A 25473-nucleotide genomic window follows, 5' to 3' on the forward strand; every position below is an offset into this window, starting at 1 on the left:
AACCTGGTGGGAGATCACTGAATCATGGGGGCAGTTTCTCCCATACTCTTCTGGTGGAAGTAAGTTTCACAAGATCTGATGGTTTTATAAGGGGAAACCCCTTTTGCTTGGTTCCCTCATTCTCTCTTGCTGCCGCCATATAAGAAGCGCCTTTTGCCTTCCACCATGACTGTGAGGCCTCCTCAGCCATATGGAACTGTGAGTCCAGTAAACCTCTTTTTCCTTATAAATTACCCAGTCTCAGTTATGTCTCTATTAGCAGTGTGAAAACAGACTAATACAGTAAATTGGTACCAGTAGAGTGGGGCACTGCTGTACAAATACACGAAAATGTGAAAGTAACTTTGGAACTGGATAACAGGCAGAGGTTAGAACAATTTGGAGGGCCCAGAAGACAGGAAAATGTGGGAAAGTCTGGAACTTCCTAGAAACTTGTTAAATGGCTTTGACCAAATGCTGATAATGATATGGACAAGGAAATCCAGGGTGTGGTGGTTCCAGACGGAGATGAGAAACTTGTTGGGAACTGGAGTAAAGGTGACTCTTGCTATATTTTAGCAGAGACTGGCAGCATTTTGCCCTTGAGCTAGAGATTTGTGGAACTTTGAACTTGAGGGAGATGATTTAGGGTATCTGGTGGAAGAAATTTCTAAGCAGCAAAGCATTCAAGAGGTATGTGGGTATTATTAAAAGCATTCAGTTTTAAAAGGGAAACAGAGCGTAAAAGTTCAGAAAATTTGCAGCCTGCCAATGCTACAGAAAAGAAAAACCCATTTTCTGAGGAGAAAAATCAAGCAGGCTGCAAAAATTTGCATAAGTAACGAGCAGCCCAATGTTAATCGCCAAGACAATGGGGAAAATGTCAGAGGTCTTCATGGCAGTCCCTCCCATCACAGGCCTGGAGGCCTAGGAGGGAAAAATGGTTTCATGGGCCAGGCTCAGGGCTCCCCTGCTATGTGTACCCTAGGGACTTGGTGCTTCAGAGGGCACAAGACCCAAGCCTTGGCAGCTTCCATGTGGGGTTGAGCCTGCAGTTGCATAGAAGTCAAGAACTGTGCACCTGCAGGAGGTTTGGGAATCTCCACCTAGATTTCAGAGGATGTATGGAAACACCTACATGTCCAGGCAGAAGTTAGCTGCAGGGGCGGGGCTCTCATAGAGAATCTCTGCTAGGGCAGTGCAGAAGGGAAATGTGGGGTTGAAGCCTCCACACACAGTCTTCATTGGCGCACTGCCCTAGTGGAGCTGTGAGAAGAGGGCCACCGTCCCCCAGACCCCAGAAGGGTATATTCACTGACAACTTGCACCGTGCACCTGGAAAAGCCTCAGACACTCAACACCAGCATGTGAAAGCAGCTAGGAGGGAGGCTGTACCCTACAAAGAAACAGGCGCGGGGCTTTCCAAGACCATGGAAACCTACCATTTGCATCAGTGTGACCTGGATGTGAGACATGGAGTCAAAAGAGATCATTTTGGAGCTTTAAAATTTGACTGCCTCGCTGGATTTCAGACTTGCATGGGGCCTGTAGCTCCTTCATTTTGGCCAATTTCTCCCATTTGGAAGGGGTGTATTTATCCAATGCCTGTATCCCCATTATATCTAGGAAGTAACTAACTTGCTTTTGATTTTACAGGCTCATAGGCGGAAGGGACTTGCCTTGTCTCAGATGAGCCTTTGGACTGTAGACTTTTGAGTTAATGCTGAAATGAGTTAAGACTTTGGGGGACTGTTGGAAAGGCATGATTCGTTTTTCAAATGTGAGGACATGAGATTTGGAAGGGGCCGGGGCAGAATGATACGGTTTGGCTGTGTCTCCACCCAAATCTCATCTGGAATTACAGCTCCCATAATTCTTACATGTTGTGGAAGGGAACCAGTGGGAGATAACTGAATCATGGGGGTGGTTTTAGATCCATCAGATCTTTCACTTGGTTCCCTCATTCTCTCTTGCTGCCGCCATGTATGAAGCACCTTTCACCTTCCACCATGATTGTGAGGCATCCCCAGTCATGTGGAATTATGAATCCATTAAATCTCTTTTTCCTTATAAATTACCCAGTCTTGGGTATGTCTTTATCAGCAACATGAAAACAGACTAATACATCATTAAATGGCTTCTAACAGTTGAAAAGGTAACACTAATGCTCAAGTATGAAGAAGCAAAGCACTTAAGCCTAATGGCACCTCAAAAACTGGAAAAAAATAATAGATTTTTAAAAAGGGATAACAAATATAATCAAGCAAAAGCTCAATTCAGGATTCTCTGTAAGTAGCATCAAGAAACAAAATGTTGATCAACGTGGGGAATGGGGCAAAGAAATTTTTTAAAAAAGAAACAAAGTGATTAATTTAGATAATTTAAGAAACTTTAAAATATTAAAAAGTTAACAGGCCTTGTAAATGCTTAAACTAGTGGAACTAAATTAGTATACTACATAAATGATCTAAAGCTAAGTATGTTGCAGGAACGCCAATAGTAAGACATTAAAAATGTGTACATTTTCTACTCTATGTTTTCATATAAATTACCCTATAACACTCCTACCCAATAGCATTTATGAAAAAATTCTGTATTTCTGGTTAACTATGTACTTCTCTATGCTACTGCCCCTGGTAACCTCTTCTTACGTGTACTACTGCCTGTGACACAAGTATTTATTTTTCTTTTATACTTTATCTTTTTCAGATCTAGCACAAATCTCTTATATTCTTCAGGAAAAATGCTAAGCTTTGCAAAGAACAAGTCATTATTTGGAAACTACCAAAATAGTTAATTGTTTTAAGCAAATAGCATCAATAGATGCTCAAATTAAAAGGTGAAACTTTGAAGTGCACTAATGAAGAAAAAACTAATAATTAGCATGTAGCTTCTTGATTAGTCAGCATCCCAAAACTTCAGGTATTTTTTTTATCATCCCGACAGTCAAATAATATACATTTATAGGTAAAATATGCAGACTTACATGAACATAACTATCTCTTCTGTGAAATGAGGCTATTATTGCCTAATATTAATAAATACATAGATTATTGTAATGAGATCAAGTGTTCTATGCTGTTTAATGTAGTACCTGGTAGAGTAAGTGCTTAATAAATAAATAGTGAGGATCGTGAATAGTGTATTCAAAATCCAAATGGGAGTGATTCTGCTTCAGGTTGGCACTGCTATTGTTCTGTATCTATGTGGAGTAGTTTTAAAAAATCATCTTAATCCTGAAAGTAGTTAACTCCATCCTCACATATACCAAAAGGACCAATCATTACAAGTAGACAAATAAATCTTTCTATACCACTGAATGATTTTATAAATAAAACACAGAAAAACAATCATATCTTTGACATAAGAAATCACCAAAGGAATAACAAAGAAATTTTGAAATAAAAATGAAAGTTTTTAAACTTACTGACTGACTAAATCAGATCCCATCTTAGAACCATCATCTGCTTCCTCTTCCATATCAGAGTCCATTCCATTGTCACCTTATAAATGAAAGAAACTATTGAAAGCACACTTATAAAAACATTAAAATGATGCAATCATGACATTAAAAAGTATAATCTTTAAAAGTGATGCAGATTAAAGAACTTTATACTGGGTCAAAACTTAAATTTTTAATTGCTTGTATTTAAAATAATTTTTTCAATGCCTTATTAGGTATTTCTCATTGCTTTTTTTTTTTTTTTTTTTTTAGACGGAGTGTCACACTGTCACCCCGGCTGGTGTGCAGTGGCATGACCTCGGCTCACTGCAACCTCCACCTCCCGGGTTCTAGCAATTCTCCTGCCTCAGCCTCCCGAGCAGCTGGGACTACAGGCGCCCGCCACCACGCCCGGCTAATTTTTGTATTTTTAGTAGAGACGGGGTTTCACTATGTTGGCCAAGCTGGTCTCGAACTCCTGACCTTGTGATCCGCCCGCCTCAGCCTCCCAAAGTGCTGGGATTACAGGCGTGAGCCATCGCGCCCGGCCTCATTGACTTCTTTTTCTCTATTATATAAATGTATACAGACAACAATGTGTGTATATACACTTACACACTATGTACATATGTATATATCTATTTCCAGAGTTACAAAATGCCATCAATTTTACATTTAAAAATGAAGCTATCACTGGAAACTGAAAGGCTCCAATTTTTGTTTCTTCTTCTGTCATGTTAAAGCTAAAATCCTTGCAAAGTCCCAAAAGAAAAAAAAAATGCCTGATAATCCAAAATTCTAGAGGTGTGAGTATCACCAAGAGTAGTCACACTACAGGCAGACAAACAAATATTGGTAAATTGCATGGAAGTATTCTAACTCTATATCTGGGTCTTATTAGAGAGTAAACAATATGCAATAGGTGACTAAACACTATAAAAAATCTAAAGCAGAAAATTAAAAAGATTTTAAGGGAAATCTTTGCCTTTCCAATAATTAATTTTTTTACAGATTTTTGGTAAACATTTTTTATTTCATTTTATTAGTTATACTCTTACCTATATACACTTGACCTGGAAAAACAATATATTGTCTATTCTTGAAACGCTTTTCTGATATGTAAACTATATTTTTTAGTGCAAATAGAAGTAAAAATACTCTTCAACAACAACCCAATAATGAAATTAAATATCCAAGTAGGAGAAAGAATACCTCAGGATTTATGCTGAATATAGTATTAACTAAGAAGTTGCCAGAATGTAAAAATATGTATTCTTACCCTCAAGAATCTTCAAAATTTTTTTTTCAGACAGGAGCTCTAACTGTTCCTGGCATAGTTTTTTAATTTCTTCTATTGAACAGTTCTAAAGGAAATGACATTTTAAAAAAATGCATTTATGTAACACAGCCCCAATGTAAACTGGAAAATTTCAATCATAAAAATTTAAGTTAGCAAAATCTTACAATAAAATAAATTAAAGCCTCAAGTAGATTCACATACATCTTTTCCTGGGATGAAATCTGAAAAACTGCCAGTTAATATGTGAACACTGCATATTTGAAGGGAATGCATAAACTTGTATTTACTATCAAAGAAAAAAACTAAAGAGTGAGTCAGTTTCCCAGCTATTCTTAAGCAGTCTATTTATGTTAAGTAATTATTCTAAAGGTTTAAATATTCAAGTCTTGTATCTTTAGATATATGATCTCAGGCTTAACTTTAGTGACCAAGGCCAATTTCTACAACTGTAAAATTAAAACAACAAATATTTCCCTAAATAATTTTCAAAAATAAATAAAAATACTTGTGAATCTAATGAAATATAAGCTATTATTAACCATTGCTGTTTGTTGTTACACAGCAGCATATTGTGACATTATTTCTTAAAGCACCATAAAGATTGTATGTCCAATTTAGTTACTATCATTCCCTGCATTTAACAGAATTATCTCCACAGAGTCAACACATTTCTTGCCTAAACATTTCTTCGTGGCAAATTTTTAAATATACAAGGCTCCAAGAACCAAATATATTATGGTTCTCTATTTTACAAAATCTTTTCAAGTAGCTTATTTTAGATGTAAACATCCAATTAAAAACTGCATTAACGCCAGGCACGGTGGCTCACACCTGTAATTCCAACACCTTGGGAGGCCAAGGTGGGCAGATCACGAGGTCAGGAGTTCGAGACCAGCCTGGCCAACACGGTGAAACCCCGTCTCTTAAAAATCCAAAAATTAGCCGGGCATGGTGGTTCATGCCTGTAGTCCCAGCTACTCAGGAGGCTGAGGCAAGAGAATTGCTTGAACCCGGGAGGCGGAGGTTGCAGTGAGCCAAGATCACGCCACCACACTCCAGCCTGGGCGACAGAGCAAGACTCCGTCTCAAAAAAACAAACAAACAAAACCGCATTAAGTAAAACAAAAAATTGCTACAAAGAAGGCTGTATTTCTACATATGTATCTAGTCTGATGTGTAATGAAGTACCTTTAACACATCAGGAAGCATCTTCTGTAACTTTTTCTCTCCTATAATACAGAAGCACTGCTGAAGCATTTCTTTTTTGTCTGATATATAGAAACTAACTGGTTTCAATGACACAGTCAGGTCCAGTCCACCTTCTTCAAGGTCACTGTGCTCTGCCAAGAATAATTCTTTTTCCAAAGTTGGCAAAATATATTTAGTTTCCTAAAGTTAAAAGAATAAAGAACCATTAAACAATACTACTTAAAATATAAAGAATACGTACATGACATCATACGTTTTCATTTAATAAATTCTTCTTCATCAAAAATTCCCAAATTCTTTGCATAATTATTTATCAAAACCATAGGAGAGAATATCTGTTTAATATTACTTGATTTTTCTCTCCACACTGCAATTAACTCAAGGAGTAGCTATAAGGGAAGAGATATTTAGGATACACAAACAAAAGTATAGTAAATATTGAATAATTTCTTAAAATTTTAGACTTTTGAAGAATTAGGATTTTCCCCTAAAAGGCCATTCACCCAAAAGCTCTATGTATGCATTATCACTGTACTTAAATTCATATAAATAAATTGAAGTAAAGATGTTACAAATCACAAATATTATACAGAAAAGTAACATACGTACCAGGAGCTATCATCATTTTTAAAACTTTATAATCATAATCAAAGTAACCAAGTAATTTCAGTAATTTAAGATATTTCTGTCCATTTTACTTTCTGTCTCCCAACTCTATCCAGTCTCTCCAAATCTACTGCCATAATTCTGTTCCAAACTACCACAATTTTTTGCCTGGGTTACACCAATAGCCATTTAATGGGACTCCCTGCATCTAATCTGAGGTCTCTTTGTTTTGTACACTGTTAGCAGAATGGATTTTATAAAATGTATACGTACTCATCCTTCTTGTTTAAAACTCTTCAATGAATTCCCATTGCTCCTAAGGTAATATGGCCTACCTGGCCTTCATGCTCATTCTTTGTGTTTAGGACACAATCTTCTTTGAATTACTCGACTGTAACCTATTCTCCTTCCTTCAGCTCATAGAAGCAGGGCTTTTGCATACCATTTTCCTATGACAGTCTTTCCTCCCTCCTTTATCTATCACACTATATTCACAAGATTAACAAATTCAGATACTTCAGACAATTCAACAGTCATTTCCTCTGGAAAATCTTCCCTGACCACAGAGGTCAGATAGTTGTTTACAAAGCAGTTTTAAAATGGGTCAGTTTTAATGAACACTATGATAATTAGACTGAAAAAGTAAAAGAATCAGCACTTGTTCTAACAGTTTACAATGTAATAATGTAGAGAAACTGGAATCCTCATACACTGTTAGCAGGAATATAAAATTGTGCAGCTACTTTGGAAGCTAATTTGGCAGTTCCTCAAAAAGTTACCATATGACCCAGCAATTCCATTGCTAGATATATACCCAAGAGAAATGTAACGATATGTCTACACAAAAACTTGTACTTGTTCTTAACAGCATTATTCATATAGCCAAAAGGCAGAAACAACACAAATGCCCATCAAGTGATAAATGGAAAAATGAAATGCTGTATAGCGTTATCTATACGTATGTGGTACATATGTACAGCTATACAAAAACAAAACAAAATGTGGTATAGTAACCATAAAAAGGCATGAATCTCTGTGATACAAAGGAATGAACCCTATGTGCTACAACATGGATGAATCTTAAAAACATTATGTTAAGTAAAAGATGCCAGACACAAAACACCACATATTATATAAACTAAACGTTACACATAAGGTTGCTTTCTGGAGTGATGAAAATATTTTAAAACTGACTAGGCCGGCGCGGTGGCTCACGCCTGTAATCCCAGCAATTTGGGAGGCTGAGGCGAACGGATCACCTGAGGTCAGCTGTTCGAGACCAGCCTGGCCAACATGGTGAAACCCCGTGTCTAATAAAAAACAGAAAAATTAGCTGGGTGTGGAGGCGGGTGCCTGTAATCCCAACTACTCGGGAGGCTGAGGCAGAAGAATTGCTTGAACCCAGGAGGCGGAGGTTGCAGTGAGCCGAGATGGCGCCATTGCACTCCAGTCTGGGCAACAAGAGGGAAACTCTATCTCAAAAAAACAAAAACAAAAACAAAAACTGACTGTAGTGACGGTTGTACAACTCTGAATATATACAAAATCACTTAACTGTACATGTGAAATGGGTGAATTGCACAGTATGTCAACTACATTTCAATAAAGTTCTTCCCAAGAAAATAGGGAACTCGGCCGGGCAGAGTGGCTCACAGCTGTAATCCCAGCACTTTGGGAGGCCGAGGTGGGAGGCTGAGGGGGGCAGATAACAAGGTCAGGAGATCTAGACTATCCTAGCTAACACGGTGAAACCCTGTCTCTACTAAAAATACAAAAGCATTAACTGGGCGTTGTGGCAGAGGCCTGTTGCCCCAGCTACTCTGGAGGCTGAGGCAGGAGAATGGCGTGAACCCAGGAGGCGGCGCTTGCAGTGAGCCGAGATCACGCCACTGCACTCCAGCCTGGGCGACAGAGCGAGACTCTGTCTCAAAAAAAAAAAAAAAAAAAAAAGGAACCTCAATACACAACAGATATAATGGCACTCTCTAAAGTTTGAAATGTTATCTACATGCCTAATATGCAATGACCTTTTCTTCACAAATACACTAATTTTTCATTAGAAGATGGGTTTAGTTCTGTACGCAAAATGTTTTCAATATTCAATTGACCAGTGTTGTTGGTCTCCCCATCATAACGGAGTGGGAAACTGGTCAGGCGCGGTGGCTCACGCCTGTAATCCCAGCACTTTGGGAGGCTGAGACGAGTGGATCACCTGAGGTCAGGAGTTGGAAACCAGCCTGACCAACATGGTGAAAACCTTACCTCTATTAAAAATACAAAAATTAGCTGGCCATGGTGGCGGGCACCTGTAATCCCAGCTACTCAGGAGACTGAGCCAGGACAATTACTTGAACCTGGCAGGCGGAGGTTGCAGTGGGCTGAGATGGTGCCACTGCACTCCAGCCTGGGCGACACAGTGAGAGCCTATCTCAAAAAAAGAAAAAAAAAAAGGAAACTATTTAAAATAAGAATGGTAATATCCAAAACTGAATCTAGAAGGGGTGGGAAAACTGAATAGATCTATATTAAATAATTTTTTTAAAGAGTGTCTTAAAAAATCACTCTAAAAAACTCCACTAGACCCAGATACTTCTGACAAATATTTGAGAAGAAAATATAAACCATTCTAGAACACACCAAAAAAACACAAAGCTTCCTAATTCAATCCATTACAAAAATAAAAACTACAGTCTGATCTAATTTAGAAACATATACATAAAAGTTGGCCGGGCACGGTGGCTCACGCCTGTAATCCCAGCACTTTGGGAGGCCGAGACGGGTGGATCACGAGGTCAGGAGATCAAGACCATCCTGGCTAACACGGTGAAACCCCGTCTCTACTGAAAATACAAAAAATTAGCTGGGCGTCGTGGCGGGCGCCTGCAGTCCCAGCTACTCGGGAGGCTGAGGCAGGGGAATGGCCTGAACCCGGGAGGCGGAGCTTGCAGTGAGCCGGGATCACGCCACTGCACTCCGGCCTGGGCAACAGAGCGAGACTCCGTCTCAAAAAAAACAAAAAAAAAGAAACACATACATGAAAGTAAAAATACTGAATTCCAGCCAAGTACAACAAACTCAACAAACCAAACAGCACTTGTCCCAAGACTCCAAAGACTGTTCAACATCAACTAACTTATCAACAAATTACATTATCTGACTAAAGGAGAAAAAGTATGTGATCATCTCAACAGAATGCCAGAAAACCACCTGATAAAATCTCTACATAAACTGTTTCTACTCTACCAAAGAGAATAATGAGCAGAGGATATGTACAGAAAATTACATAAGAAGAAATCAAATGGCAAATAAAAATATTAAAATGTTCAATCTCACTAATAAGGAAAATAAAAATTAAAACAAACTATTAATTTGACCCACTAGTCTGGCAATTTTTTTAAAAAATGCCATCAAAATGTCATCAAAAGCTAGTTAAGAATCTCAGAAATAGGTATTCTTATATATATACTGTTTGGACTATAAATCTGTAAAGTCTCATTTGGAAAGCATTTGGTGGCATTCATAAGTTTTTAATAGCATAAACTTTGACCCAGGAATTTCAGTTCTCACACTCTCTCCCAACATAACTCTTGTAGGAGATATATACATAAAGGTGTTTGTATTGTAGTCACAACAATACAAAAAAACCTGCACACCCAAATATCAGAAAAATATAATACAATACCAGGCAGTCAGTAAAAATAACAAACCACGTATATAAAGAAGCCTATCACAACAATGCAGGTATTCAACAGCGGGAATAACACAATACAGCTTAAGTGTAGGAACTTAAAAACACGTATCTCACGAGGAGTGATTAAAAGAGGCCGCGTATCAAAATACTAATGGAGGGGCAAGAAAAGGGACTTGACGCTTTCCCTTTATTTCCTCATTGAATGAATTTAAAGTACCTATTCATTCATTTGTTTTCAAACAAATTATGAACTTTTTTAAAACGGCGTTCTCTTGGCAGACTGGTGGCGTATAAAGAACATGGCTTTTGTAGTCAGATATTTGGATTCAAACCTAGGAGCTATTAACAAACTCTGTGACCGTGGGTAAAGTTTAACTTCTTTGGGCCTCAATTTTCTTATCTCTAATGCGGAGTTAACCATATCTACGAAAAGGTGAAGACGAAGGGAGAAGTGTTTGGCTCGCAAGGGAAATGAAGGCTAGCTTCCAACTCGTATTCTTCCGGCAGAGTGAAACCATAGGAGTGGAAGGAGCCAAGAGTTTAAAAAATAAATTAAAAAAAAAGTGATCAGGAAATCCAGAAACTTGAAGTTCAAGATTCAAGACACGGATGGGAGTGTGGGGCTCACCAGGACTTAGGTAGGAACATGAACCTCAAGGACGGACGACCTTGAGATTGCCGCGCTAGCAGTGAGCTCCAGCCTGCGCCCCATCCCTCTGGAAGCCCGACTTCTTCCGAAAAAGCAGCAGCTCCAGGAAGCGGCCAGAGGGGCGCGCACGCACCTGCTGCAAGGAGCCCGAGACGCTGGAAGAGTCGGTACTCCTCCGCTTCCGGCGCTCGCTGCGCTCCACGCTGCTCCCGCCCCAACAGCTGCCGCCGCTCCCACCGCCGGTGACACTTCCACTAAAATTGGCGTTCCCACAGCAGCTGACGCTCCCGCAGCCCCCGGCGCTCCCGCAGCCGCTAGTGCTTCCACTGCTGCCGCTGGCCAACGCGGGTACGATGTCCGGGGCCGCGAGCGCTGCGGCCGCCTCCTGACTGCTACGTTTGCGCCGTTTCTCCCGGGAGGACTTTTTCCCCGTCATGATCCCTCTGCTGCAACCATCGGAGGAAAGTCCGCTGTCTCTGGTGCGACCGAAGCCCGACTCCTGCGGCCGTGGGCGGCAGGCACTGGCGTCGCAGGTTATGCGTCACTTCCGGCCGTGGCACAGAACGTGGTGAAGCGTTATGGGCCGGGGTGGCAGGGGGGTTGCCATAACCAGTTGCGCTTCCCCCTCCGGTCGCGGAGGTCGATTTGAGTGTGTAGCGGGTAGCCTGTCTAGTCAGAGTTTGTTTTGTTTTGTTTTTATATCTCTACAAAGGATAGAAGGTGGAACTTACGTCCTTTTAACTTCAAAACTTTTTATTGTTAGTGTTTTGTCTGTTTACAATAAGGTTGAAGTATAGTTGCTGATTCTCCATTTCCGTTTACCTCCAAATCTTAAGATATTAACAACGCTATGACAATAAAGAGAATAGGGAAAAGTTGTTCCATCTCATTTTCCTCATCACCTGGGCAAATTAGGTATTTCTTGCGTAGAGTCTGACATGGACAAGTAGAGCTTGAGTTCGTTTTTGAAAATTGAGAATGGGTCAAAGCTTTATGAGATTTTATGGGTGGATGTAATCTAAATAGAAGGCAGATTTTAAGACAAGGGAGCTAGAACACTTAAAACGTGAACCAAGGTCTTTGTCGTTTCAGCAGGGGCCTTTAGCCACTGAGGGAAAAAGGTAGAGCCTGGGGCAAAGCTAGCTGGGTGGTAGTAATTCTGTGCCTTTCCCTGGGGTAAGAAGCAATTAAAGAAGCTTCCCTTCTCTTTGTCTCCTATTTGTCTCAGTCATTCAACAACTACTTAAATGCCTAAAACCAGCCTAGGGTTAATAAATAGGGACACTTCCAGCCCTAGGAAAACTGTCTTCCCCCAGGCCCCACTCTTAAATTGGCCTTGTAAGGTAAATCCTGGGGCTGAGCCCACTGTGTTCCCAGGAGTTCCGTTAAGTATCACACTCATTGGAGTCATACCTGAAAGGATTGAGAGTGTTGTGTTCACAGATAGGAAAAACACATAAAATTAATAACATGTTACATTTATAAACCTGTTATGAATTGTGTCCCTGAAACCATCATAATTTTAATAAAACTAAATTGCTAGATTTTTTCTTTTTTCTTTTTTTTTTTTTTGAGACGGAGTTTCACTCTCGTTGCCCAGGCTGGAGTGCAATGGCACAATCTCGGCTCACTGCAACCTCCGCCTCCCGGGTTCAAGCATTTCTCCTGCCTCAGCCTCCTGAGTAGCTGGGACTACAGGCATGCGCCACCATGCAGGGCTAATTTTGTATTTTTAGTAGACAAGGGGTTTCTCCATGTTGGTCAGGCTGGTCTCGAACTCCCGACCTCAGGTGATCCACCCGCCTCAGCCTCCCAAAGTGCTGGGATTACAGGCGTGAGCCATCGTGCCCTGCCAAATTGCTGGATTTGTGACAAAAGATAAGCTTTTAGTAGAAGCATAGCTAAACGTTAACCAACTTTTCCTATAGCCCACTTCCTTATAGCTGCTTATTGCTTTATAGATATCTTTGACTCGGTTAAGAAATCTCAAGTTTTCCATTTTGAGATATTTACCAGATTCTGTACTCCAATGGTGTTACAGAAGTTAAGAAATTATTTTAGGCAGATAGAGAGGTAAAGGGGTCTTTGGGAAGTTTTTTTTCTTTTAAAGCAGCTCCAGAAATGTTTCTTGTCTAGCAAAAAAGCTGGGCTGGCAAGCTATGATATGCAAATGCAGGCCGTTAGAAACTGGGTTTACTCAGTATGGCGATTCCCCTCTTCTTCTTGTCCCCACATGTGCCTAGCAACATGGCCATCCCCACATATCCCCACATGTGTAGAACATTGTGGCACCCTACATTCGCATATTAAAAGGCTAGGGTGGGAGGGCCACTTTTTTTGCAGGCTACGTGAATGACATACCTGGTCAAACCAATTCCCTGGGTCATATGCAAATTAGTCACCACCTCCTCCAGCCTCATAATATAACTGGCTCTTGTCTGCTGCACCCAAGGTTCCCTCTTTCATCTGGGAGCCCTCTTCCCTCTGGTTCTGTATGAGGGAGCCTCTTCTTTCTTGCCTATTAAATTCTCCGCTCCTTAAAACAATTCCACTTGTGTCTGTATCGTTTTATTTAAACCAGCACGAGACAAAAGACTGTGGTGTTCCTCCAGTCATTGGAACCATATCAGTGGGGTCACTGATGCTACTCAGTCTGAAGACCCCTTCTGAGAAACGAACTCAGCACAAGAATGCACTTTCTACCTCCTTATGATTACATCCCCCATGCCCTAACCAATCAGCAACCCCTAGCTCCTCAGCCCCCTACCCACCAAAATTCCCTTAAAAACCCCTGTCCAAAAACTTACTGGGGAGGTGATTTGAGGTTCCCTCCCATCTTCTCCCTTGGCTGGCATACCATTATTAAACTCTTTCTCTGCTGCAACTCCTGCTGTTTCCATGTATTGGTCTGGTACCATGTAGTGGTTAATAGAACCTGATGGTCCTATAACATCACCCACAGAATTCATATGTTGAATCCCTAACCCCAATGTGACTGAATTTGGAGATAGGGTCATTAAGGAGGTAATTAAGGTTAAATGAAGTCATAAGGGTGGGTCCCTAATCTAATATAACTGGTGTCCTTATTAAAAGAAGAGTCTGGGCCAGGCATGGTGGCTCACGCCTGTAATCCCAGTGCTTTAGGAGGCCGAGGCGGGTGGATCATGAGGAAGATGGAAACCATCCTGGCTAACACGGTGAAACCCCGTCTCTACTAAAAATACAAAAACAAAATTAGCTGGGCGTGGTGGCAGGCGCCTGTAGTCCCAGCTACTCAGGAGGCTGAGGCAAGAGAATGGCGTGAACCCAGGAGGTGGAGCTTGCAGTGAGCCAAGATCGCACCACTGCACTCCAGCCTGGGCGACAGAGCAAGACTCCGTCTCAAAAAAAAAAAAAAAGCCTGGTACAGTGGTGCATGCCTGCAGTGCAAGCTACTCAAGAGGCAAACTGGGGAGGATTGCTTGAGGCCAGAAATTCTGGGCTGTAGTGCGCTGTACTGATCAGTTGTCTGCACTTAGTTCAGCACTAATATGGTGACCTTTTGGGAGTGGAAGCCACCAGGTTGTCTAAGGGGGGTGAACTGGCCGAGGTCCAAAATGGAACAGGTAAAAACTCCCACGCTAGGCTGGGCGTGGTGGCTCACACCTATAATTCTAGCACTTCGGGAGGCCGAGGCAGGCGGATCACTTGAGGTCAAGAGTTCAAGACCAGCCTGGCCAACATGGTGAAGTCCCGTCTCTACTAAAAATACAAAAATTAGCCAGAAATTGCTTGAACCCTGGAGGCGGAGGTTGCAGTGAGCCGAGATGGTGCCACTGCACTCCAGCCTGAGCAACAGAGTAAGACTCCATCTCAAAAAACAAAACAAAAACTCCCATGCTGATTAGTAATGAGGTCACAGCTGTGAATAGCCACTGTACTCCACCCTGAACAACATAGTAAGACCATGCCTCTAAAGAAAAGAACAGACTGCCCTGTCTTCTCACCACATACAGAGGAGAGGCCATGTGAAGACACAGTGAGAAGGTAGCCATCCACAAGCCAGGAAGAGAAGCCTCACCAGAAACCAACCTTGATGATATGCTGATCTTGGACCTTTAGCCTCCAGAACTGAGAAAATAAATTTCTGTTTAAGCCACCCAGTTTGTGGCACTTTGTTATGGCAGCCCGAGCTAGCTAATACAGACCTAAAATGTTATGTGTGCCTGGATAGAGCTACCTGGCTGCAAATTACTCTCTTATAAAATCAATTGAGAAGCTTCTAGGTTTCCACTTTGTTCTACAGCAACCTGACAAACGGTGTTCATATTTCTTCAGGTGGACCAAGGAGGCAAAGCACTCCTCACTAGATTGCTGTACAGTATTTATGAACTTGGCAGATGAATCACAGTCTTTGTCTGCCCTCTCACACACTTGTTCTAGGACACAAAGGCATTGTTCTACCACTGGTGATAGAGAAGGGGAGAAAATAGAACAAAATGCATGTCTTCATAAGCAATTTTCTAGTGAGGGGAAACAATAAGAAAATACACAATAGGAAGTGCTTCTATCTTCACTCACTATGGCACTCTGCATTCTTCTTACCCTGTTTTTCTTCAGCACCCTTAAACACCACCACACATATATTTATCTGTGTCCTTCCACTTGAATGTAAGCTCCTTGAAAGCAAGGACTTTGTTTTATTTGCTTTTTTTTTTTTTCCTTTGAGACAGAGTCTCACCCTGTTGCTCAGGCTGGAGTGCAATGGCACGATCTCAGCTCACTGCAGCCTCTGCCTTCCGGGTTCAAGCAATTCTCCTGCTCAGCCTCCTGAGTAGCTGGGATTACAGGCACCCACCACCACGCCCAGCTAATTTTTGTAGTTTTAGTAGAGATGGGGTTTTACCATGTTGGCCAAGCTGGTCTAGAACTCCTGACTTTGTGATCCGCCTGCCTCAGCCTCCCAAAGTGCTGGGATTACAGGCGTGAGCCACCGCTCCTGGCTTTATTTGCTTTTTTATTCCCAATATCCCACTGTCCTGAATAAAAATTTGGCACAGGCCAGGCACAGTGGCCCAATCTGTAATACCAGCACTTTAGGAGGCTGAGGTGGGCAGATCCCTTGAACCCAGGAGTTCAAGAACAGCCTGAGCAACATGGCAAAACACCATCATTACAAAAAATACAAAAAAAAAAAAAAAAATTAGCCTGGCATGGTGGTCCCAGCTACTCAGGAGGCTGAGGTGGAAGGATTACCTGAGCCTGGGGAGATCGAGGCTGCTGTGAGCTGTGATTGCACCACTGCACTCCAGTATGGGGGACAGAGTGAGTAAAATTAATGGCTAGAAACTAGTCTTTAATAAATGAGGTTGGGAGGAGGTTTGCGGCGCTCTTACGTCGCATGGTGGAGAGATATAGCCATAGGGAGTTAGCTGCTACTGTGAAGTTGACAGTCAAGTGGGCTTTGGAACCACAGGTACAAACTGCTTTCTACATGGGGTTCTGCTGAATGGAAGATGGGGAAAGGACTTTGATTTATGCTAAGAACATGCCATAGAGACATCACAAGCCTGACTTACAGTCAGAGAGATGTCTTTTTAGGTTGAACCCATATGAAACTGGCTTTTTACAGGTTGAAAATGGTTGAATGTTGATTCAAGCAGCAGAGAGAAAAAAAAGGAAAAAGTAGTTGAATATTGACAATTTCATATGGTTCACCTTAATATGCTTAAGAGGCCCAGCACTAAACATTGCTATGGACTTAAAGCTCTGCAAACAAATGCAGACTGCTTTTCTGCCTAGAACAAGTATATAAGGGAGGGTGGACAGAGATTGGTTCTTATACACCAATTTCAGCAATGCATTGAGCATTGATCACAGTGATTGCCAGGGATAGGCATGCATTAATGCTGGGGTCAATCAGTTCTTCTCTGGGATTTTATAAAGAGATATTTGGTGAGAAATTTGCTCTTTCACACTAAGTCATCACTTAACTTCATTACAGTCAACTGGAAGTAAATTGTCTCCTAGCTGCTTGTTGTCATGTTCTCTGTCTTGTGACAATTCTAAGAAAATTAGGCCAACAAAAGCACTTGCTGAAACAAGTAACAAAAAATCCTGATACTATCATTTTCCATCAGTGAGCCAGTGTAATTCTTTTTTCTCCCCCAATTAAGCTGATCTGAGTTGATTTTTTTTTTTTTTTTCTTTTGAGACAGCCTCGCTGTTACCCAGGCTGGAGTGCAATGGTGCGATCTCGGCTCACTGCAACCTCCGCCCCCTGGGTTCAAGCGATTCTGTCTCAGGCTCCTGAGTAGCTGAGACTACAGGCATGCACCACCATGCCTGGCTAATTTAGAGGGTTTCACCGTATCAGTCAGGCTGGTCTTGAACTCCTGACCTCAAATGATCCCCCGCCTCGGCCTCCCAAATTGCTGGGATTACAGGCATGAGCCACAGTGCCCTGTCTGATCTGAGTTGATTTCTGTCACTTGCAACCTGAAGTCCTAATTAATACAACATAGTACAGCATAAGTACAGCATAGTACAGCATAGTACAACATAAGACCTTCCATGCTCTGAACAGCATTTTTCTCTTCAGCCTTTCCTAGAAATACACTCTTCAGGCCTATTCAACAACCCTACCTACACTTATTGTATCTAAGATTCATTTTAAGTATAACTTATTTAAAACATTTCCACATCACTTCCATTCTCAATCCTCCTAAAATTAACCACTTCTTTTTTTGCAACCCACTATTCTCCCTACAGAGTGTCCAGAACTCTTTACTGCAGGCACTTGCTCAGTATCTTCTCCAATATACTGTTAGTTCCCAGGAACTATGCATATATATTTTTGTAGTCTCAACACCTGATACATTACCTGGAAGAAGCTAGGGATGCAAATATTTGTTAAAATTCTAAACTGATAATTTCAGGACCCACACAGAGCTTCTTTCTCTATCACCCTTGTGGCAAATTGCATTAATGACCCCAGTTCTTCACCTCTCCCTATATCCACAGCTTGCCATGTAATTTGGCAGTGCCCTCCTGCTACAGGTGAGACCTAATTCCCTACCCTTCTGCTACGCCATCTAACTTACTTTGGCCAAATGGATGTTAGCAGATGTGCAGCAAGTGGAGTCTCAAAAAAAGCTTGTGCAATTAGGATGGTTGACTTGTGCTTCCACCATTATCATAAAAATTATATACCCAAAGTGGCCCACTGGTCCTAGAAGAAAGATGAGCAACAAGTAGAGCAGAGCTGCCTCAACTAAGCTACTCAGACGAGCCTAGCCTAGAGCTGAGTCCTCAGACAACCTGTAGAAACATGAATGAGCCCAGCCAGGACCATCCTACCCCAAGCTTGAAACTCCTGAGCTAAATAAAAACTATTATTTTTGTTGTTGGTTGTTGCACAGTATTACTGTGGCTATAGTTAACCAATGTGCACTCTGTCTAAAAGAGACCCTTTCCCTGTATTTCTCTGTTAGCAGTAAGAAGTCTTCAAAACTGGTTTGATATTGTCACTATTCGATACACAGAAGTCTTACAAGAAATCATGAGACCACTGCTAGGGCTGTAGTATGCATATATGTGATTTTTACAGTCCAACAGAAACACTTTCTTGCTGGGTCCTGGGGCACTATACGAAGTTTAAAAGAAGGGTAAGGATTTTGAGTTCTAAACAACTTTATAAATGTCCTTCAGGATTACCCCCTGCCCCAAGGGCATTTCTTCCACAGTAGAAATAAAACCAAATTACTTTTTTCCCCCTTTTGTTTGTTTTTGTAAAGGCAATTATTCTTATTATTAAAGAACATGGTAGCCTTGTATTGTCTTTGGAAGAAATGCTTGCTGAGCATTTATGTGGCCATCATTTTGCTAGGCTTTTACATGAATCTTAAATTATTCATCTGTCATATGAAGTCCCACTGAACAGATGACTGACTGAGGCTGAGGTTAAGCAACTTGCCTTAATTCATTACTAAGTGATGGTAAGGCTATTGGAATATATGCCTTTTGAACTCCAAAGCCAGTGCTCCTTCACTATATTATACTGCAGCTTTGGTTGCTATTACTACTGAAAATTTTGAATAATATAGAAATAAGTGAACATTTATTGAATTTATTAGTTCCTTTGAGGACACAGGAATGAAAGAAATGTCATTTAATGGCTTAAAACCACTTTCTTTTGATCCATGTCATTCTTATATGGCACTAGCAGCCACTGTAGTTGCTATTAAAGTGGCTACTACAAACTGGTATTTTTCTTCATATTGATATCCAGTTTTGGCAACATCATTGATTAAATACTGTTATCTTCTCCATTGTTTGGTTACTACTGACTTGTCATACAGATTTGACTTCTTTCAGTTTCTACACCTGTGTAATACCTACCTCATAGAGATAATGAGGATAAACTATGCATATACAACTAGAAAAGAATAAGTGCTTAATGCAGGCTGCCTAGTTGTTCTTTGCATTGTTATTTGGTTTGATTTAAATCAAGTTGCAAACTGTTGTGGTAAATGTTGCTACATAACTTGAAATGTGATGATCACAGCCATTCGGACATTTTATTTTTCTGATTTATCAAGTGTCCAGGAATTCCAAGGTCAGGTTTTAAGCCCCAACATCTCATTTTAGGCCTAGGACCAATATTAGACTATCTACTTTACAAAAGGACTTTAGGCAACTTTCTCCTCTTTACAGCTTCCATTACCCACCTTATTCTGAAGACTATTTTACCCCTTAAGGAAGCTCATATATGATATAATCAAGACAAAATAACAAGTACATATCACCTGTAAAGTATTCCTACAAATAGTTTAATCTCAGTGGAAACAAGCTTTCAGTTTATAGGAAATAGATGTTGCAGGCCGACTCCAAGATAGCCCCCAGTGATCCCTCCCCTACTGGTATTCACTGCCTTGCATAATCTACTCCCCTTGATTAACTTCCAACCAATACAATACCTTGATGTTGAGATGTCACTTCTGTGATTAGATTATAAAGATTCCAACTTTGGTCCTGCCAGCAGTCTCTCCCTTGCTGGCTTTGATGAAGCAACTTGCCACACTGGGGAGGCCCATATAGCAAAACTCAGAGAGGGCAGTCTTTGGCCAACAGCTAGCTAGGAATTGAGGTCCTCAGTCCAACCCCAAAAGATCTAAACAACAACGATGTGAGCTTGAAAATGAAACCTTCCTCAGTAGAGCCTTTAGATGAGACACCAGCCTTGGCTGATACTTTACAGCCTCAAGAGGATCCACCTAAGCTGTGTTAGGATTCCTGAACCACAGAACATTTGAGATAATATGTGCTATTTTAATCCACAAAGTTCTGGGGTCATTTATTAAGCAGCAATAGATAACCAATACTAAAGGGTTGTAGAAAAATATTTTACAAACACAAAATGTGAGGTGCTTCACATGCTGGAGTGCCCTAAACATTTCAAAAAGTCACTGATAGTTTTAAAATATGAAAGACTATTCTAGATTAAGAAGTCAAAGAAGCATATATCTAAACTATTCATAGATACAGTACACAAACCTTGATTATTTAGATCTTTTTAAAGCAAGTTATAAAAGGCATTCTTAGAGCAATGAGGAAATTTGAAATATGGACTAGATATTAGATATTATGAAATTACTAATTTCCTTAAGTGTGATATTATCAGTGGCAAGTTATGTTCTTAAAAATGCCCTCATTCTTATAAGATGCATATGGAAGTATCCAGTTGATAAGCATTTAAGTAATTTCAAAAAAAAGTACATACTATGGAGATAAAGCAAATCTGGCAAAATGTTAATAACTGTGGAATCTAGTTAACAAGTCCATGAATGTTCACTGTACTTTTCTTTCAGTTTTCTTTTTTTTTTTTTTGAGACAAAGTCTTGCTCTGTCAACACCCAGGCTGCAGTGCAGTGGCACAATCATGGCTCACTGCAATCCTGATCTCCCAGGCTCAAGTGATCCTCCCGCCTCAGCCTTCTGAGTAGCTGGAATTGCAGGCACGCAATATCATGTCTGGCTAATTTTTAAATTTTTGGTAGAGATGCGATCTCTCTATGTTGACCAGGCTGGTCTTGATCTCTGGGCTTAAACGATGCTCTCGCCTCAGCCTCCCAAAATGCTGGGATTACAGGTGTGAGCCACTGCACCCAGCCTTTTAAAATTTTTATGTATGAATATTTTTATTAAAAAGTTGAAGGAAAACTCATGAAAAAATGCTATTAAAGTCTTCAAAACTATTTATAATCACAAGTATACGGCATATAATTTCTACAGAAAATAATGCATTAGAAATTAGAATAGTTTTTTTTAAAAAGGATTGAATAACACTTTAAAGGCCTGGAATTTATCTAAGACTTCCAGGAAGGATGACATATCACAAATGGCCTTTTATGCATTTTATCATTTCCTCATAAAATAACCATACAAAAAAATAGCCGGGCGTAGTGGCGGGCGCCTGTAGTCCCAGCTACTCGGGAGGCTGAGGCAGGAGAATGGCGTGAACCCGGGAGGCGGAGCTTGCAGTGAGCAGAGATCACACCACTGCACTCCAGACTGGGCGACAGAGCCAGACTCCGTCTCAAAAAAAAAAAAAAAAAATAACCATAACATACAAAGTGATAACTGCTGAGGAACCTACCTCCTACTCTTATCCCCAGAATTATCTATGTAAAGAATCCATTTTTACCTATGCTTCTTCCATCACTTAAGATTATGAGGTAGATAATAAATTTCATTGCATTGCTATTTAGTTATAAATTCAGCTAGTCATATAAACAGTAACATACTCATCTAAAGGAACCTAATGCCAGAGAGAAGATAATAGTTATGAAATGGAGACAATAATAACTTAACTCTTTTGTAGGCAATGGGGTTTCAAATGCAATATGAAGTACATTAATTCCAAGAGTTGTACCACTAGAGGTGCGATGGCAATGTAAACAGTCTAAACAATGTACACTATCTTCATCTACCAATTCCATGTATAAAATGTTCCTAGGGAACTAGTAAGACTCTTGTGAGATTTGTCATTACCATTGCTTGATAGCTGAAAATTGGAAACAGTGCCAGTTAATAAGAAATGGGTATATCCATATGATAGAATATTGTATTTATTAATGTGGAGCTCTTTGTACCAAATATAAGTTTAAAAATCAGGTTATCAAAGAGTATGTATGATACAACGCTTTTTTAATAAAATAAAATACATTTACATACATAGTCACTATGCCACAAGATGTTAAGAATAGTTTTCTCTAGATAGTGGCCTTACAGGCAATTTTTATTTGGGGTGTGTGTGTTTTACTCAATAAATATTTATTACTTTTGTATTCAGAAAAAACATTAAGAGAATCATAGGAAAGTTTAACTAAAAAAGAAAATCTTTAAAATATCATTAAATTATTTAACATATCCTTCAAGTGAGATTGTTTCCTTTTGCTAAGCTATATTTTGTAATCTCCACAACAAACATGAAATAGTAAAGTTGACATAAAAAAACTTGCACAGTAATAGGAAGCAGTGTTTACATTTTGCCACCCCTTACATTTTGAAGAGGGAACTCATATTCTTAACCAAGACTGTTTCTTATCATTATTCAAAGGTACCTACTTTTCCTAAATATTGCAATTAAATTATTTGTACTTAAGAAAGCAGTGTATTGTAAAGGAACCAGCCAGACCTGGGTTAAATTCCTAATTTTGCCATTTAACTTTGACATAACCACCTAAACCCAATCAAAAAACGAAAAGTATAGGTACTCAACTGAGCCAGTGAACAGAATATTTAGTCCAGGTACACACCAGGTAGTTCCAATTTAATACTCAGCAAAGTACATATCCCCTCTATTTACATTTTGCTCATTTCCTTTTGATATTCCAAAAGTTCTTACTTGGGTTACTCTTGACAATTAGAACCTTTCTTGCCCATTTGGGGAACAATTATTCTTCTAAGGCTATAATTTGGCATTAAGCCAGGGGATTCATGGTTTTTACACCACGAGTATTGAGAATGTTGCTATTTCTGGCAACGTCTTTATGAAAAGATCTTTCCCACTTTTGAAAATAGTTACGCTTCTCTCAAGAAACTGGGTTACCTCAGACACAATAAATTGTGTAATTAATGTGATGGTTCCTTCTTTGTGTTAATTGCTAGGATGTTCACACACATCTGTGATCTCTCTAGAAAGTATAGCATAGCATGTACTTTAAGTAGTTAACTCCCTCTTGGCTTCACTTTTTTTTTTCTGTTATATGATTCATCCTATTATGTCTACTTCTGAAAGCAGAGATAATACTGGCCCTCATTTAAAGGGGTTTTAAGGATTAAATATCAGTGTGTCTACTATTCTGCCTGGACCACATAGAGGGCTCAAAAATAGTAATTTCACATGACAGGTTCTAGACTTTCAAATAATACAGTTTGATGTACTCTTGCTTATGTAACCACCTGATAAAATTCAACATGTTCCAAATTCCCTTTGAAATAATGGAAAATGACAAAAATAAACAGCCAAATATCAAAACTAGAATGAAAAATGAAGTTACCTCAAATAGTGAAGGGCAAAAGAAACTGGATCTAAGCCTGGAGTTAAATTGAGACCTCGTCTGTCTGAACTGATACATGACTAACACAGCTTACCAACTGGCTTTTTCTTCATCTAAAAATAGGCCATTAAACAAATATACTTTAGGATTTATAAATGACAAATCAAGAAATTATCTTATATTGTTTTAATATATGAATTTATAAATTATTTTATAAATTTAATATAATTTAAAAAATTTTAAAGTAGTTATCCTAAAACAAGACCTTGAAATGTATCAGTGCTGTTCGAAGGATCTAGCAATGAAGGTGGAGAAGTTAAATAAAAGATAATTGACAACAACAGTTTGGTGTACATTAAGTAATAAAAGCAAGTTATATGAGTAACAGCCCTTGTCTTCTTAGTGGCTAAGGTAAGGGGAAGATGTCATTGTCATTGTGTTGTTGCTGATTATAGCTTATTTTAAATTTGTGTTCACACTCTTGAAAATCTACCCAAATTACACAGGAAAATCTCACAGTTCAGCAGTGCAAAAATTTTATTTCTGTTTCCCCTCCCCACCACTTTACAAGATGTAAAATTTTACTTAATCCACCGTATTCTCTTTTTTTAATTATCTGTTATCAGTCATGTCAAATGTGAGGAAAAAAACACTAATCAATTAAAAATATCCGTCCCTCTTCCCCACTGCTACAGCAAATTTAGGATAAATCTACAGCATTCACTTACTTTAGCTGGTTCTGATACTGAGGAATACTTTTTTATTTGAGAATCAACACCTAAAGACTTGGCTAATTGTACAGCATTTGAATCATCACTGATAAGTGTTCCAAGAGCCACAAGAAGTCTAAAAGTGGCTTCTAGGTCTTGTACTACTTCCAAGATTGTGCTAATTAGTGACAAACATTGGGCTTTCCCTTCAATGTTATGGTCTTTATGAAAACAAACAGAATAGTTCAGGGCCAATGTAGCCAGAGCAATGTGAATGTTCTTATTGCTCCCTGATTTCAGTTCTATTGCATGGGACATCAGTGATTCCCTCTGGGACATCATGAGTTTTTGTCCTGCCTGGCCAACAAAACAATTGCAAAAAGTCCTGAGAGCAAGCAGCTGGTTTGCTGGCTTTCCTTTAGGGTTCAGAAGATTGATAAGATGACTGCTGAACTGAGCCCCTTCCTTTTCATTGCAGAAGTTCTCATTCACACTGGGGTGTTTAATTGACAACCGAAGAATGTCAAGTGCAGGAAAGACAATATCTATTAAAAAAAAAAAGTCATTAATGCTTATGAAAATAAAGAAAATTTCTTTTGACTATCGACTTTGAAGGATTTTATTTTCCCACTGCAAAACTAACCATTTTAGAAAATGTGAAAAATCATGTGTCTGCTTTAAAAAAAATGCATATATTTCTGAAACTTTTGTTAATTTTTCATATTTATATAAACTAGATTTATTGCTGTAAGATCATATTCGCTTTAAAAATAAGGTAACTCTCTCAAACAGCCTACACACTGTGAGTATTCAAAAATGAATGGAAAGAATGGGGTGCAGACTTTGCTTTTAAAAAATTCTGTAAGACCGAACAATTAAACAGGGAAAGTTCTTTTTTTTTTTTTTTTTTTTTTTGAGACAGTTTCACTCCTGTTGCCCAGGCTGGATTGCAATGGCATGATCTCGGCTCACTGCAACCTCCACCTCCCGGGTTCAAGCAATTCTCCTGTCTCAGCCTCCCAAGTAGCTGGAATTACAGGTGCACGTCACCACGCCCAGCTAATTTTTGTATTGTTAGTAGAGACGAGGTTTCATCATATTGGTCAGGCTGGTCTCAAACTCCTGACTTCAGGTGATCTACCCAAGTTGGTCTCCCAAAGTGCTGGGATTACAGGCATGAGCCACCGTGCCCAGCCGGAAAGTTCTTAAGAGAAGAATTCCAGTTAACAAGTGATAGGATGCTTATAGGTTGGTGGGAGCTTTATAATCAAGGGCCTGGGTAGATGCCATCTGAATGAATGCACAAAATAATCTTAGCATCACTAAAGGTGAGGAAATCCAACAT

The 25473-nt window shown here is 39.7% G+C and overlaps 2 protein-coding genes and 1 pseudogene across 5 annotated transcripts in view, besides 6 other annotated features; 1 reads left to right on the top strand and 2 right to left on the bottom strand.

Moving 5' to 3' along the window:
• Window positions 1–11399, bottom strand: part of CAAP1 (caspase activity and apoptosis inhibitor 1) — a 52118-nt gene extending 40719 nt beyond the window's left edge. For 2 of the 3 annotated variants that reach the window (NM_024828.4, XM_047423896.1), the window contains exons 1-4: window positions 11010–11399; window positions 5910–6110; window positions 4701–4785; window positions 3407–3482 (exon numbers count right to left, since the gene is read on the bottom strand). In NM_024828.4, coding sequence (NP_079104.3) covers window positions 3407–3482; window positions 4701–4785; window positions 5910–6110; window positions 11010–11312 — 665 coding nt within the window. In that variant the 5' untranslated portion in view covers window positions 11313–11399. Of the gene's footprint in view, window positions 1–3406; window positions 3483–4700; window positions 4786–5909; window positions 6111–10855 lie in introns of all 3 variants that reach the window. The other variant, NM_001167575.2, reaches the window with a different exon arrangement.
• Window positions 10798–11377: an enhancer, noted in NCBI's record as "H3K27ac hESC enhancer chr9:26892199-26892778 (GRCh37/hg19 assembly coordinates)". NCBI's record gives its function as "activates a minimal SCP1, AML or CMV promoter by ChIP-STARR-seq in naive H9 embryonic stem cells {active_cell/tissue: H9 hESC(naive)}" and the evidence as "EXISTENCE:reporter gene assay evidence [ECO:0000049][PMID:30033119]".
• Window positions 10798–11428: a biological region, named in NCBI's record as "H3K27ac hESC enhancer GRCh37_chr9:26892199-26892778".
• Window positions 10949–11128: an enhancer, noted in NCBI's record as "active region_28248". NCBI's record gives its function as "activates an Ori minimal core promoter by ATAC-STARR-seq in GM12878 lymphoblastoid cells {active_cell/tissue: GM12878}" and the evidence as "EXISTENCE:reporter gene assay evidence [ECO:0000049][PMID:35858748]".
• Window positions 11209–11428: an enhancer, noted in NCBI's record as "active region_28249". NCBI's record gives its function as "activates an Ori minimal core promoter by ATAC-STARR-seq in GM12878 lymphoblastoid cells {active_cell/tissue: GM12878}" and the evidence as "EXISTENCE:reporter gene assay evidence [ECO:0000049][PMID:35858748]".
• Window positions 11378–11957: an enhancer, noted in NCBI's record as "NANOG-H3K27ac hESC enhancer chr9:26892779-26893358 (GRCh37/hg19 assembly coordinates)". NCBI's record gives its function as "activates a minimal SCP1, AML or CMV promoter by ChIP-STARR-seq in naive H9 embryonic stem cells {active_cell/tissue: H9 hESC(naive)}" and the evidence as "EXISTENCE:reporter gene assay evidence [ECO:0000049][PMID:30033119]".
• Window positions 11559–11628: an enhancer, noted in NCBI's record as "active region_28250". NCBI's record gives its function as "activates an Ori minimal core promoter by ATAC-STARR-seq in GM12878 lymphoblastoid cells {active_cell/tissue: GM12878}" and the evidence as "EXISTENCE:reporter gene assay evidence [ECO:0000049][PMID:35858748]".
• Window positions 14275–14567, top strand: RN7SL100P (RNA, 7SL, cytoplasmic 100, pseudogene; annotated as a pseudogene).
• Window positions 21969–25473, bottom strand: part of PLAA (phospholipase A2 activating protein) — a 43871-nt gene continuing 40366 nt past the window's right edge. For both annotated transcript variants that reach the window (NM_001321546.2, NM_001031689.3), the window contains one exon: window positions 21969–24673. In NM_001321546.2, the coding sequence (NP_001308475.1) occupies window positions 24108–24673 (566 nt within the window). In that variant the 3' untranslated portion in view covers window positions 21969–24107. The remainder of the gene's footprint in view (window positions 24674–25473) is intronic.

Source organism: Homo sapiens, chromosome 9 (genome assembly GCF_000001405.40).
Source record: "Homo sapiens chromosome 9, GRCh38.p14 Primary Assembly".
NCBI classification, from domain to species: domain Eukaryota; kingdom Metazoa; phylum Chordata; class Mammalia; order Primates; family Hominidae; genus Homo; species Homo sapiens.